At 38.9% G+C, this 14,177-nt stretch overlaps 1 protein-coding gene across 6 annotated transcripts in view; it reads left to right on the top strand.

Annotated features, from left to right (window-relative positions):
- Nucleotides 1-14,177, top strand: part of ULK4 (unc-51 like kinase 4) — a 715,505-nt gene that overhangs the window by 200,923 nt on the left and 500,405 nt on the right. For all 6 annotated transcript variants that reach the window (NR_136342.2, NM_001322501.2, NM_017886.4 and 3 more), the window contains one exon: nucleotides 6,693-6,820. Coding sequence is in view for 5 of the 6 variants with exons in the window: in NM_001322501.2 (NP_001309430.1) it covers nucleotides 6,693-6,820 (128 nt within the window). In the remaining variant the exon portion in view is untranslated. The remainder of the gene's footprint in view (nucleotides 1-6,692; nucleotides 6,821-14,177) is intronic.

The following is a 14,177-nucleotide window of genomic DNA, read 5'->3' as shown; positions in this document are numbered from 1 at the left end:
TCTTGTTACCACCACCAGAAAGATACAGAACAATTCCAGTTTCCCAAAGAATGACCTTGTGCTGCTTTTGTCTTAGGCAAACCACCCTCCATCCCAGTCCCTGGCAATCATGGATGTCTTCCCTGCCCCTATAGTTTTATCTTTTCCAGAATGTCATATAAATGGAATCATACTGCATATAATCTTTGCAGCTGGTTTCTTTCAGTTAATACAGTGCAGGTGAGATTCATCCATGTCACTGCATGTATCAGTAGTTCATTACTGCTGAGTACTGTTTCATTATGTGGATGTACCACAGTTTATTTTTTCACGTACACATTGAAGGACATGTGGACTGTTTTTGGTTTTTGACTGCAGATTAAATATCCCTTATCCAAAATGCTTGAGACCAGAAGTGTTTCAGATTTCAGTGTTTTTGGATCTTGTAATATTTGTATATAAATAATGAGAAATCTTGGGGATGGGACCCAAGTCTAAGCACAATATTTATGTTTCATATACACCTTGTATAAAATAAGGCCAAGGTAATTTCATACAATATTTTAAATATTTTCAGTGCATGAAACAAAGTTTGTATTAAGTACTTATGTGTGGAATTTTCCACTTGCATCATGTCAGTGCTCAAAAAGTTTTGGATTTGGGAGCATTACAGATTTCAGATTTTTGGATTTGGGATACTTAATCTGTATTATAACTAAATATTGCTATTTTTGTGTACAATTTTTGTGTACAAGGTTTTCTGTGAACTTAAGTTTTTATTTTATTAGAATACTTAGGATGGTTGAGGCATATATGATAGGTATGTATTGAACATTTTAATGAAACTGCCAAACTGTTTTCCAGGATTCCTGTACCATTTCTGCATTCCCACTAGCAATGTATGAAAAACTTCAGTTGCTCTACATACTCACCGTTTTTCATGCTAGTCATTCTAATAAGCTCATAGTTATATCTCAGTATGATTTTAATTTGCACTACTATAATGATTATGATATTGAGCATCCTTGCATCTATTCGACAGATACATATTTTCTTTAGTGAAATGTCTGTTTAAATATTTTGTTCATTAAAATTTTTTTCTTAATTTTGAGTTTTGAGAGTTCTTTATATATTCTGGGTACAAATATTTTCTGTCAGTATGTGGCTTGTCTTTTCTTACAGTGTCCTTCACAGGGGAGAAATTTTAATTTTGATGAAGTTTACTTATATTCAGTTGTATAATACATTTTGGGCTAATTTTTGCATATGGAGTGAGGAATGAGTGTAAGTTAACATTTTTGCATGTGGATGTTCAGGTGTTCCAGCATCATTTGGTCATATGATTATCCTTTTTCCAATGTTGCCTTTGCACCTTTATCATAGACTAATGGACTATATTTCTAAACTCTAGTTTGTTTCCTTGTTCTATGTGTCTATCATTTTGTCCATACTACATTGTTTTGATTACCGTAGTTTTTTTATGTCTTAAAATTATTGTGCAATTCTTGCATATCCCCCCAAAATTGTTTTGCATATTCTAGTTTTTATTTACCTTTCCATAGAAATTTTAAACTTAGTTTACATCCACAAAATGCCCTGTTGGGATTTTGATTGAAGTTGCATTAAGTCTATAGGTCAATTTGGGGAGAATTGATGACTAACTTGAGTCTTACTACATGAACATGGAATGTCTCTTCATTATTTATACGTTTAAAAAGTTTTCTTTAATCACTATTTTAGAATTTTTAATGTACAGATTCTGTAGATGTTTTGTTAGGGTGAAAGCAATACTTCTTTGTTGTTGTTACTGTTGGAGCTATTGAAAAGTGGTACTTTAAAAAGGATTTATTTTCCAATTGTTCATTATTGGTATGTTGAAATATACCAGATTTTGCTAAACTCACTTATAGGAGCTTTTTTTGTAAATTCCTTGGGATTTTCTACATAGATAATCATGTCATCTGCAAATATTTCTTTCATTCAAATCTAAATGTCTTTTATTTATTTTTCTTCTTATACTGGCTATAGCTTTCAGTAAAATACTGAATCATGGGTGAAGAGAATGAACATCCTTGCTTTCTTCCCAGTTTCTGGGGAAACACCTTGTCTGTCATCATTAAGTATGATGTTAGCTGTAGGTTTTTTGTTTTCTACTTGCTTTGTTTCAGATTGAGGAGGTCTCTTTTATTCCTAGGTTACTGAGAGTTTTTATCATGAATGGATGTTGAATTTTGTAAAATGGTTTTTTATTAGTAATTGATATGGCTATGTGGTTTGTCTTGTTTCATCAATTAATTATGATGAATTACACCTTTTTTTTTTTTTAATTGAGATGGAGTCTTGCTCTGTCGCCCAGGCTGGAGTGCAGTGGCGCGATCTTGGCTCACTGCAAGCTCCGCCTCCCGGGTTCACGCCATTCTCCTGCCTCAGCCTCCCGAGTAGCTGGGACTACAGGCACCCGCCACTGCGCCCTGTTAATTTTTTGTATTTTTGGTAGAGACGGGGTTTCACTGTGATCTTGATCTCCTGACCTCGTGATCCACCCGCTTCGGCCTCCCAAAGTGCTGGGATTACAGGCATGAGCCACTGTGCCCGGCCACTTATTGTTTTTCAAATGTTGAATCAGCCTTGGATTCCTGGGATAAACCTCACTTGGTCATCAAGTTTTATTCTTTTAATATATTCTGGATCAACGTGCTTATATATTGTTGAGGAGTTTTTGCATCTGTGTTCCTAAGGTATACTGTCTATACCTCCTTGTCTTGTATAACTAAGTGACTTGGACCTTTTTGATGTCTATAAATGCTTATTTAATGATAGTTCCTTCAAATTGAGCTGTTACAGTACAGTTTACCTCTCCCTCAATTTTGCTTTGTTTTGTTTTTTGTTTTGGTTGAGTGGTATCTTAGTATGTTTGGGCTGCTATAACAAGGTACCTTAGACGGGGTAATTTATAAATAATGGAAATTTATTGCTCACTGTTCTGGAGGCTGGGAAGTCCAAAATCGAGGTACTAGCAGCTTTGGTGTCTATTGTGGGCCCATTTGTCATACATAGTTTCGTCTTTGTGTCCTTACATGTTGGAAGGGGTAAATAAACTCACTCAGGCCTCTTTTATAAGGGTACCAACCTCATTCATGAGGGATAGTCCTTATGACCTAATTACCTCCAAAAGGCTCCACCTCTTAACGCTATTACATTGTGGATTAAGTTTAACATATGAATGGGGGCAGGCAAAAACATTCAGCCCATAGCAGGTAAAATCAGAGCATTTCGGCCAGGCATGGTGGCTCACGCCTGTGATCCCAGCACTTTGGGAGGCCAAGGCAGGCGGATCATGTGGTCAGGAGATCAAGACCATCTTGGCTAACACGGTAAAAATCTGTCTCTACTAAAAATACAAAAAATTAGCCGGTGGCACGCACCTGTAGTCCCAGCTACTCAGGAGGCTGAGGCAGGAGAATCACTTGAACCCAGGAAGGGGAGGTTACAGTGAGCCGAGATTGCACCACTGCACTCCAGCCTGGGCGACAGAGTGAGACTCTTAACTTTTTTTTTTTTTTTTTTTTTTTGAGAGAGTCTCGCTCTGTTGCGCAGGCTGGAGTGTAGTGGCACGATATCGGCTCACTGAAAGCTCCGCCTCCTGGGTTCACACCATTCTCCTGCCTCAGCCTCCGGAGTAGCTGGGACTACAGGCACCCGCCACCACACCTGGCTAATTTTTTGTATTTTTAGTAGAGACGGGGTTTCACTGTGTTAGCCAGGTTGGTCTTGATCTCCTGACCACGTGTTCTGCCCGCCTTGGCCTCCCAAAGTGCTGGGATTACAGGCGTGAGCCACTGTGCCTGGCCAAAAAGAGTTTTTATCAGCCAAAATGTTTTTGATTTTCATTTTTCGTTTTCTTTATATGAAATAGGTTTATATGGATAGCTTTATATGAAACTTGCCTCCTATCTTCTGTATTTTTTGAAATACCTTAAATTATCCTTGGTTAATGTGATATTCCACATGGAAGAGATCAGAGGTTTCAGTTGTTTCTAGGACTCTTACTTTCTTAGTTCTTAAGTTCTTTTCTTAGTTATTGATATTTATATATCAAGAAAATCACCCTTTATTAAAAAAATGTGCTGCAAATACTCTAGTTTATGTGGTTTTTTTCTTTATAGTGTTCTATTTCTATGTGGCATTTAACATTTTTTGTATTTACATTTCTCACGCTTATTTTGTTCTTTCTAATTATTTACGAACATTTTCCCCAGTCTGAGATTGAAATATGTATATATGTATGTATATATGTTTGTATTCCTACCTCCCATGGCCTCTTCTAGATCTTTGAATCATTTTGTGTTTATTTTTTAAATCTTAGAGCTGTTTGGTGTTTATTTTGAAGTAGGACATGAGACAGGCTCCAATATGCATATGTAATCAGTCTGTTAATTTTGTGTAGATCAATATCTAGTGGAACTTTCTTCGTTTTCATCACTTTGTGTTTCAGAGTACATTCAGGTGCTTCGTATAATCTGTCAGTTTTTTCTCCTGAGTTTTCTCTGGGGGCCTCTGACCAGCTTCCTTACAGATAGGCTGCCCTCTGTCTGGTGAAGGCTGTCACCTTGGAATCATCCTGAGATTCCCTTTGCCGCTTTCCTTTGTTCAATGTTCTCATCTTCCTTTTTTTACTTCTTCATGGTGAGTGTTGAGGGTATTCAGTGGAGTTGATGGTATGATACATGATTTTGGGAAGATAATGAAAAGCCAGACCATGAAGAACCTCATATGCCATAATTAGTTTTAACCTCTTTTTAATGGTTGTGTAACTATTGAGAATATTTTATAGGTGAGTTATATTTGCTCTTACAGAGGATCCACTGTGGCTAAAATTTGTAGAATAGATGGAATAAAGGAAAATTAGATAAAGCCGATTGTAGTAATTCAGGAAAGATATAATGGTGCATAGAAATAATACAGCCATAGTGGGGGTGTCATTTTCACAGAGCTTGGGGTTAATTGGGCGTGGGAGAAAGGAAAGAAGGGTCAAGGATGGTACTCAGACTTCTGAGTTTGGCTAGTACTCATGTTTAGAGTAGTCACTGAGTTTAATTTTGGACATACAGTGTGAATGATTGCAATAGATCCTTTGTCCACATTCACCAAATGTTAACAGTTTGCTATGTTTACTTTATAATTTGTCTCTCTCTCTGTCTTTATCTCTTTCACTTTGTGTGCATGTGTGTGTGCGTGTATCTGTGTTTTCTGACCCATTTGAGAAGTTTGTGGACATGATGCTTGCTCTTCTAATTCTAATTATTTCATTGAATGTTTCCTTGAAACAAGCTGTGAATTTCAAAATCAAGAAACTAACATTGATTCAGTATTGTTAGCTAATCTACAGACCTTATTCAGATTTTGCCAGTTCTCCCGATAGTGTTCTTTATGGGAACAAAACTTCCAGATCTTGAATTGCAGTCAGTTATCATGTCTTTTTAATCTCTTATAATCTGGAAGAGCTTTTCAGTCTATGATTGCTGGAAATTTGAATGGCTTTGGAATTATGTGTGTATATGTTGGGGGTGGTGTTGATATGGGGAACAGACTTGTGATGGTGGTCCTTAGACCACAGAGTATAAATTAGAATCAGGAATGGACTCTGGGGAGATGGATTTTCTACTGTCTAGTTGCTGGAAAGGTAGAAAACAGATCTTCTACTCAAGGATGACTGCCTTGATTTGTTTTTTTTACCTGAGATAAATAATTTGGCTTTGATAATTTGGTTCAGGAAGTAGGTGAGACTGATGCTTAGATATGTTTTTATCCTTAAGTAGCATAGAATTTACATGGCATATACATGACTATGTAAATTCTTCCTACCTGGAAACATAGCACCAAATAGAAAAGGACTGGAGTGTGGCCAAAAAAAAATGAGCTTCTTAAATCTGTCTTGGACACACAGTGTTACTGTTAGGTGCTGGCCTCTCTTAAGCTCTCTTGGGAACTTATATATTCCTGTTCTCTGTAGCCATCTTGCTGATATTACGATTCCGTATTTCTGACTACTTACATTCGTTAACCATGTGTGTGTATGTGTGTCTGTTTTCTGTTTGCATATTTATAGAAATTATTTATAGTCTGTCTTTTAAAAGGGAAAGTAGCACTATTCCTTGTCAATACTTAGTCCTCTGTGTTGAATTATACCTTTAATTAAAGAGTGTTATAGGAGTATACGTTTCTTTGTGTCATGTATTGAGTATTGTCTTTATATCTGTTAAGCCCTCAGATGTGTAGACTAGAGGTATGATCTCTCTATATGCAGCTCTTCTCAGAGATTTATATCTACATGTAGTTGTGACTGACAGTTGTATTATTTGCTGCCACATTTCCAGTTGTGTGATTGAGTAGTTAACAGGCAGGCTTTGTCATTCAACTGGCCTGGATTTTATCCAACTCTGAATTTGGGTAAATTGCTTAATTTTTCCATATTCATTTTTCTCTTTAAAGCGGGGACAACATTGTCAACTTTTTATGACTAACTTTCAGATTTAAATGAGATAATATTAAAATTTAGTTATGGGATCTGGCACAAATTGAGAATGCGAAAACAGTAGTTATTATTTTACTTCCTGCCATCTGCTTGATTATTATAGTCTGTTCACTCTGAGAATTGAGACTGCCCTATTTTTTTATGTTCTCTCAAAAAATTGTTTAAATGTCTTCTACAGGGTTTTGTCTCCACAATTATCCGTTTACTTGACAGCCCCTCAACATGCATTAGAGCAAAAGCCTTCCTGGTTCTTCTATATATTTTGATTTATAACCGTGAGATGTTGCTGCTCAGTTGCCAAGCAAGGTAAGATTTTCTCTGATGGTTTCATCAGTAACTTCAATTTAGTGCCTGTTGTATTAGTAGTTGTAGGGTATTTCTTGGCCTCTGTGTATCTGGTATTTTTTTTTAAGAGTTTTTCCAGGGGCTTAATATTTCACCTGTAATCTCAGCTTGGAAGTACTGAGGACCCAGAGAAGACCTCTGAAACTATAGCAGAGTGAGAAATCCCTGGTGTGCCCTTGATATGGTTTGTCTCTCTGTCCCCACCCAAATCTCACCTTGAATTATAATCCCTGTAATCCCCACGTGTCAAGGGTGGGACCAAGTGGGAGTAATTGGATCATGGGAGTGGTTTCCCCCATTCTGTTCTTGTGATAATGAGTGAGTCTCACCACATCTGATGGTTTTTTAAGTGTCTGGCATTTCCCATGCTGGCACTCACTCCATCCTCCTGGCTGTGAAGAAGGAGTCTGTTTTTCCTTTACCCTCTGCCATTGTTGTAAGTTTCCTGAGGCCTCCCCAGCAGTGTGAATTAATTAACCTTTTTCCTTTATAAATTACCCAATCTCAGATATTTCTTCACAGCAGTGTGAGAATGGGCTAACACAGCCCTAGATCTGAGAACAATCCAAAGCAGGGTGTTGAGATGTTTCTTGTTTGTACCTTTGGGAGTCAATATTAGACCAGTGGCTTGGTTGTAATTTTCCTTATTGTAAGATTCTGGAATAAGTAGCTGAAGGCTCAGAAGGAGGAGCAGGGCAGGGGGTGAGAGTTTATGGACTGGTCCTAGGAAGGACAGGTCTTTCTCCCGGCTTGTAACTCTTTGCTCTAAAAGGAGGAGCTGTTCTAGATGCTCCTCAAGTTTGCTTCGTGTTCTGATGCTTTCTGATTAACACCTTCTGAACCATCTGATCCGTGCTGTATTGAAGCCCAGAGGAGACCTGACAGTTTGGTTTAATGTCTGTTTCTAGATCCAGGGTTTTACTTGTTCTAGAATACTGAGCAGAGCCTGGTATTGCTGAGATTGATCTAGATTAGGGGTTGACAATTTTTTTTTTCCTGGTAACAGTGAGAGAGTAGGCTTTGTAGATCAAGAGGCAAAATTGGGGCGATTACATACCTACCTATATAACAAACAAGACAACAAATTTCTGTGTGTATTTTTGGAGACAGGGTCTTACTCTGTTGCCCAGGCTGGAGTGCAGTGGTGTAATCATGGCTCACTGGAGCCTCGATCCCCACACCAGGCCCAAGCGATCCTCTCATTTCAGCTTCTGGAGTAGCTGGGACTACAGGTGCATGCCATCATGCCCAGATACTTTTTAAAATGTTTTGATAGAGACAGGGTCTCACTGTGTTGTCCAGGCTGGTCTTGAACTGCTGGGCTTGAGTGATTCTCTTGCCTCAGCTTCCCAAAGTGCTAGGATTACAGGCATGAGCCACCATACCCAGCCCACATGTTTTTTATTGACATAAAAATATACCAATATTAACTGAATGAAATTTTTCTTTTGTAATACAGGTCTGTTAGGGAGAAGAGAATTCTTTTTTCGGGGAAGGGGGAGATAACATTTTGCTCAATTGGGGATCAAAGTTAGTGTCCTTATCATTAAATCAGTTGCAAATGTTTTTCTCTTAGTGCTGATTTTTAATGTGATTTAATGTGTTTTGTCTTTGAAAATGTCTTCACACAGATAGATACTGCCAAATAACAAAATCAACTCATGAACATATGATTTTCATTGAGCAGATTTGTCACTGGGAAGGCATTTGTATAATTCTGTTAGATTCTTCTCTTGATTTTTGTGTTTCAGGATGTCATTACATTGTAGATCAGTCACTTCCAATTGAGGGGTGTGGAATTTCCTAACAAACCTCCTTGTTTCTCATCTTTTAGGGATCACTGGTTTTCCTTGTCCAATGTCTTGAAGTGTGATGTTTCATGTATTTTGGCTATTTTTTGGTTGTTTTAGATGGGAGGGTGAATCCTGTTTCTGTTAGTCCATTATGGCCAGAAGTGGAAGTTGCTCGTGTCTATTTATTTTTAATGGCCTCACTGCTGGCTTTGCTACCTCTGATTTGTCTTTGCGTTTACCATCATTTTTCACTGGAACAACTAATATAGCTTCTCAACAGTTCTACCATATAGAGTTAGGGCAAGAAAAGAGAAAAACAAAAAAGGGACAAAATAAAACAATAAAAGAGAAAGAACAAGTAAGAAACTTTCTCAATGGATGCTGTTAGATCATTTCTTGTACTCACAGTCTGGTTTCTATATAGGAGCTAGAGTACCTACACACTGCAAATCAGCTTTTGTTTCTTCCCTGCTTGGACTCCTCCAGTAACACCCAGTCACTCTGAAATAATACCCCTGTTCCTCACCATGTCCTACCTGTCCTGCCTTGTCTAGTTCTTGCCCTTGTGTTAGCCCTTGTCTTCTTTGGGCACACTCCATTTGAGCCCCATGGTTTGTCTGTTGCATTTTGAATACACTAAGCCTATGCACTCACCTCAGGGCTCTTCTTGGTTGCTGTTTCCTGTGCCTATGATCTCTTCCTTCAGATGCTTGCATGACTGGCTTCCTCAGATCATTCAAGTCTCTGTCCAAGGTTTACTTCTTCTGAGAGCCACTCTGATGATGCTATCTAAAATACTTCCTGTAACCTCAGCTTCAGAAGCTCTTTAACTGGAAGGAACTAAACCACTTACACCTTCAGAGATTGGGTATGACACATGTGGTCCTTCCTCCCTGGGAATTGCTGTGACTTATCTCTGAATAAATGTTTAGAAGCTGAAGCAGTGGTGGGAACATAGTGGTCTGAAGGCATGCCCCTGACACTGACCTCCACTCTTCTCAGTCTCTGGAGCAACACAACAAACAGGATGAGTGTAGAGAGAGGGTCTGGAAAGTGACCTTAGGCTTGCAGGGGAGGTAAGGTAGGCTCCATTTTTCCTGCACTGTGTGGCAGAGATGGTGCTCCTGTCTTTGGCCTCCTAAGCTCAGCATGAATAGTAGAACTTGGAGCTTCTGCAGGGTCTAAAATGCAGATGCTTTCTACATATGGTGGTTTGGGCTTGCAGTCTTATTCCCACAAGATCTTGAGCAGAACGGAAATGGTGGGCCAATCTGTCCCTGTCTGTAAGGTTCTAGAAAGACTACACCACCTTCCTGCCCTTGAAGAGAACAGCTCCCTCTTAATACCTGCTTCTTTGCCACACCCATCCTGATTGGGTACTGAGTAGGTTAAGAAGTCAATAGGCAGAGATTTGTCCCAGCCCATTTAGGGAAACATGGTACTTGAAAGAGAAAGAACGGGAAGAGCAGGCTGACCCGCCCACCCTCCCTCCTTCCCTCCCTCCTTCCCACCCTCCTTCCCTCCCTTCCTCTCTCTCTCTCTTTCTCTCTCTCTCTTTTTTTTTTTTGAGGTGGAGTCTCACTTAATCTCAGCTCACTGCAATCTCCGCCTCCCGGGTTCAAGCAATTCTCCTGCTTCAGCCTCCTGAGTAGCTGGGACTACAGGCGCCCGCCACCACATCCAGCTAATTTTTGTATTTTTAGTAGAGACAGGGTTTCACTATGTTGGTCAGGCTGAACTCCCGACCTCAAATAATCCACCCGCCTTGACCTCCCAAAGTGCTGGGATTACAGATGTGAGCCACCACACCCGGCCAGACCAGGCATTTCTTATGGAGGCAGAACTAATGGAAGAGACAAAGAAGGAATTTTAACAAATATTGAAAACTCTACGGAGAAGGCAGTGTTTTTTTTGTTTTGGAAAGTCTAGAACTGGAAGACAATGGCCTCTGCTAGGGATAGCATTGGTGCTTTGAAACGCAATATTAAAGGGTACATTAAACCATTCAGAGCAGGTGGCAAAGACATGGAAACTTGAGAGGAAACAGTAAGAAATATGGAGTGGAGGTCCAGGAGATCTCACATGCCAAGTGCCAAGAACATTAGGAGGAGTAAAGAACAGATGGAGGAGGATTTCCAATTGAGGAAATCATAGCAGTAATCTTCTGGTTGAATGTGTTCTCTTCTGATACTGTACTCAAATGAGAATAAAAGAATTAAAAGGCACAAAACCACAAGGGCAGAAGCAAAGGGAAAGATGGCTAAAGCAGATGAATGTTGTTACCTTGTCTTTGTATTTTGGAAGTTGAAAATTACCAGACTCCATCATTAAAGGCAGTGCCCGTTTATTAAACTGACAGTTTCCATGGGTCAGGAGTCTGGGCTTCGTATAACTGGATCCTCTGCTCACATCTCACATACTTGATGTCAAGGTGTTGGCTGGTGCTGAGATTCTCAGTTGAGGCTCGGAGTCCTCTTCCAAGCTCGCTGGTTCTTGGCAGAATTCATGTTCTTGCAGTCTTTGGACTGACATCCTCACTTTCTTGCTGGTATTTGGCTGGGGTTCATGCTCAGCTTCAGGAATCTGTCCTTCTTCATTGACAGTTTACTGCATACCTGTTTACTTTCTCTTGGTGGCCAGCAAGATTGCTTCTCATGCCTTGAGAAGCAGGCACTCATTCCCCTCATGCTTCAGACATCTTTGACTTCCCTCCTCTGCCATCAGTCAGAGAAAATGAGTTTTAAATGTCTCACTTGATTAGCTTAGGCTCACTCAGATTATCTATGTGTCTTAAGATTAATGGAATTGGGACTTTAATTATGTCTTCAAACTCACTTCCCAATACAGATGCTCCTTGATTTCCAATGGGGTTACATTTCAATAAACCCATCATAAGTTGAAAATATCATGTCAAAAATGCATTTAATACATCTAACCTACTGAACATCATAGCTTAGCCCGTCCTACCTTAAATGTGCTCAGAACACTTACATTAGCCTATAGTTGGGCAAAATCATCTAACGCAAAGCCTATTTTTTATTTTTTTGAAATGGAGTCTCGCTTAGTCATGCAGGCTGTAGTGCAGTGGTGTGATCTCGGCTCACTGCAGCCTCTGCCTCCCAGATTCAAGTGATTCTCCTGCCTCAGCCTCCTGAGTAGCTGGGATTACAGGTGCATGCCGCCATGCCTGACTAATTTTTGTATTTTTAGTAGGGACGGGGTTTCACCACGTTGACCAGACTGGTCTCGAACTGCTGACCTGAAGTGATCCACCTGCCTTGGCCTCCCAAAGTGCTGGGATTACAGGTGTGAGCCACCGCTCCCTGCCCACAAAGCCTGTTTTATAATAAAGTGTGGAATATCTCATGTAATTTATTGAATACCACCCTGAAAGTGAAAAGCAGAATGGTTATATGAGTATTCCATGTATGGTTTCTACTGAATATTGTTTTTGCACCATTGCAAACTAACATATCATAAAATCGCAAGTTGAATCATTGTAAGTTGGGGACCAGCTGAAGTATCTAGATTAGTGTTTGAATAGCCGGGATGGTGGGGCTTTGGGGGCAGGGGGATCTTTAGCATTCTGCCAACCACCACCATCCCCAGAATGGAGGGCTACGCAGTTGTGGAAAGGCACAAGGAAGATGTCTGTACACAGCCATGGAATCATCTACAAGATATTATTATCCTGATAAAAGTCAGATTTAGAACAGTATTCATAGCATACTATTAATACCTTTTTGTCTAAGAAAGGGGGTGAAAACAGAGAGGATATGTGCCTTTACTAATATTTTACAAAAGACAGAATGGAAAGTTAAATAAATTACAAGAGTGATAATTTACAGGATTAGGAAGAGAATAAGGAAGGTGCAGGGGCAGGAGTGAGCTATGCTTGTCTGAATGTACCTGCTTTATGGTCTAGACTTAAGAACCATGTAAATGTTTTATATAATGTTAAAAATAGAAATAAAAATGAAGTGGTCTTTAAAAGTTGAAAACAATCTGTGTATCAAGTTTGTGGTATGATTCCCCAGGGAAGAGATATTTAAAGTGAGTGCTTTTAAAGCACAGTATTATGGCAGAATATTTCTTTCATAATGTATTTTACTGACCAAAATCCCATTAAGAAACCTTAAACTGCATTTGGTGTTCTTCTTGTCAGTGTTAATATATGTATTGCCATTTGAAACTATTATATATATATATATGGTATGTGCGTGTCTGTGTGTGTGTATATATATAATATATATCGTGTGTGTATATATATATGATCTCTATATATGGTGTGTGTGTGTATATATATATGTGGCCTCTCTCTCTATATATGGTATATATACGTCTCTATGGTGTGTGTATGTGTGTGTGTATATATATATATATAGTCTCTATATATGGTAAGGTAAAACTAACAATTATGCTAATTCCAGTAATAACCAATATTATCAGTGTAAAATAAAATGTACAATTATAAAAATATAAGTAAAATTCTCTCATCCTTAATTTGACTCAAAAATGTTAGGATAAACTTATTTATTTTTCTATCTTTTTAAAGAAAGTATGTATTTCATAGTTGTGTCTACTTGTGTTAGTTTGCTCAGGCTGTCATAACAGAGTATGACAGATTGGGCAACTTAAACAACATAAATTTATTTTCTCACAGTTTCATCGGCTACAGATCCAAGATCAAGGTGTCGACAGGTTTGGTTTCTGGTGAGGTCTTTCTTCTTGGCTTACATAGAGGGCTGCCTTCTTCCTGTGTCCTCGCATGGCCTTTCCTTTGTGTGTGTGCACTCATGGTGTCTTTTCCTCTTTAAGGACACCATTGCTGCTGGATTAGGTGCCCCCCCACATGGTGTCATTTAGCCTTAATTACCCCCTTAAATCTCCAAATACAGCCTTATCTCCAAACACACACCTATCTTCAAATATAGTCACATTGAGGGTTAGGGCTTCAACATATGAATTTTGGGGGGAACAGAATTCAGTTTATAACACTAAGAAGCTAGTATTCAAGTTTTAATTCCTAACTACCATTTTCTACTCAAATCGTGGTCTCTTGTATAAATAGGTTCCAAGTCTCTGGCACAGCTTTGCATTTAGGCCAGAAATGAACAAATTGAGGCTGGGACATGTCATTCCTGAAAGCGAGGAAGTTATCAGAGACTTCTAAGGTCATGTTAAAAAGAATGCAGGAGCCAATGTGAAGGAGCTTCCACTGGCCAAAGATGGAATTTCGAGAGTTCTTTATATATTTTAGACACGAGTCCACTGTCAGATATACGGTTTGCAAATTTTTTCTCTCCATGTGTAGCTTGTCATCTTATCTTAACAGGATATTTTACAGAACCAAAGTGTTGAATTTTAATGGGTTCACTTTATCATTTTTTCCTTTAATGGTGTGTATTTTTGATGTCAAGACTAAGAACTCTGTCTAGATCCCAAAGATTTTCTCCCATGTTTTAAAAAATATTGTTTATGGTTATACGCTTTACATTTAAGTTTGTGATCCATTTTGAGTTAAT

Source organism: Homo sapiens, chromosome 3 (genome assembly GCF_000001405.40).
Source record: "Homo sapiens chromosome 3, GRCh38.p14 Primary Assembly".
In the NCBI taxonomy this organism is placed as follows: Eukaryota; Metazoa; Chordata; class Mammalia; order Primates; family Hominidae; genus Homo; species Homo sapiens.
The sequence above is the reverse complement of the archived record's forward strand: the minus strand, read 5'-3'. Positions and strand labels throughout refer to the sequence as shown.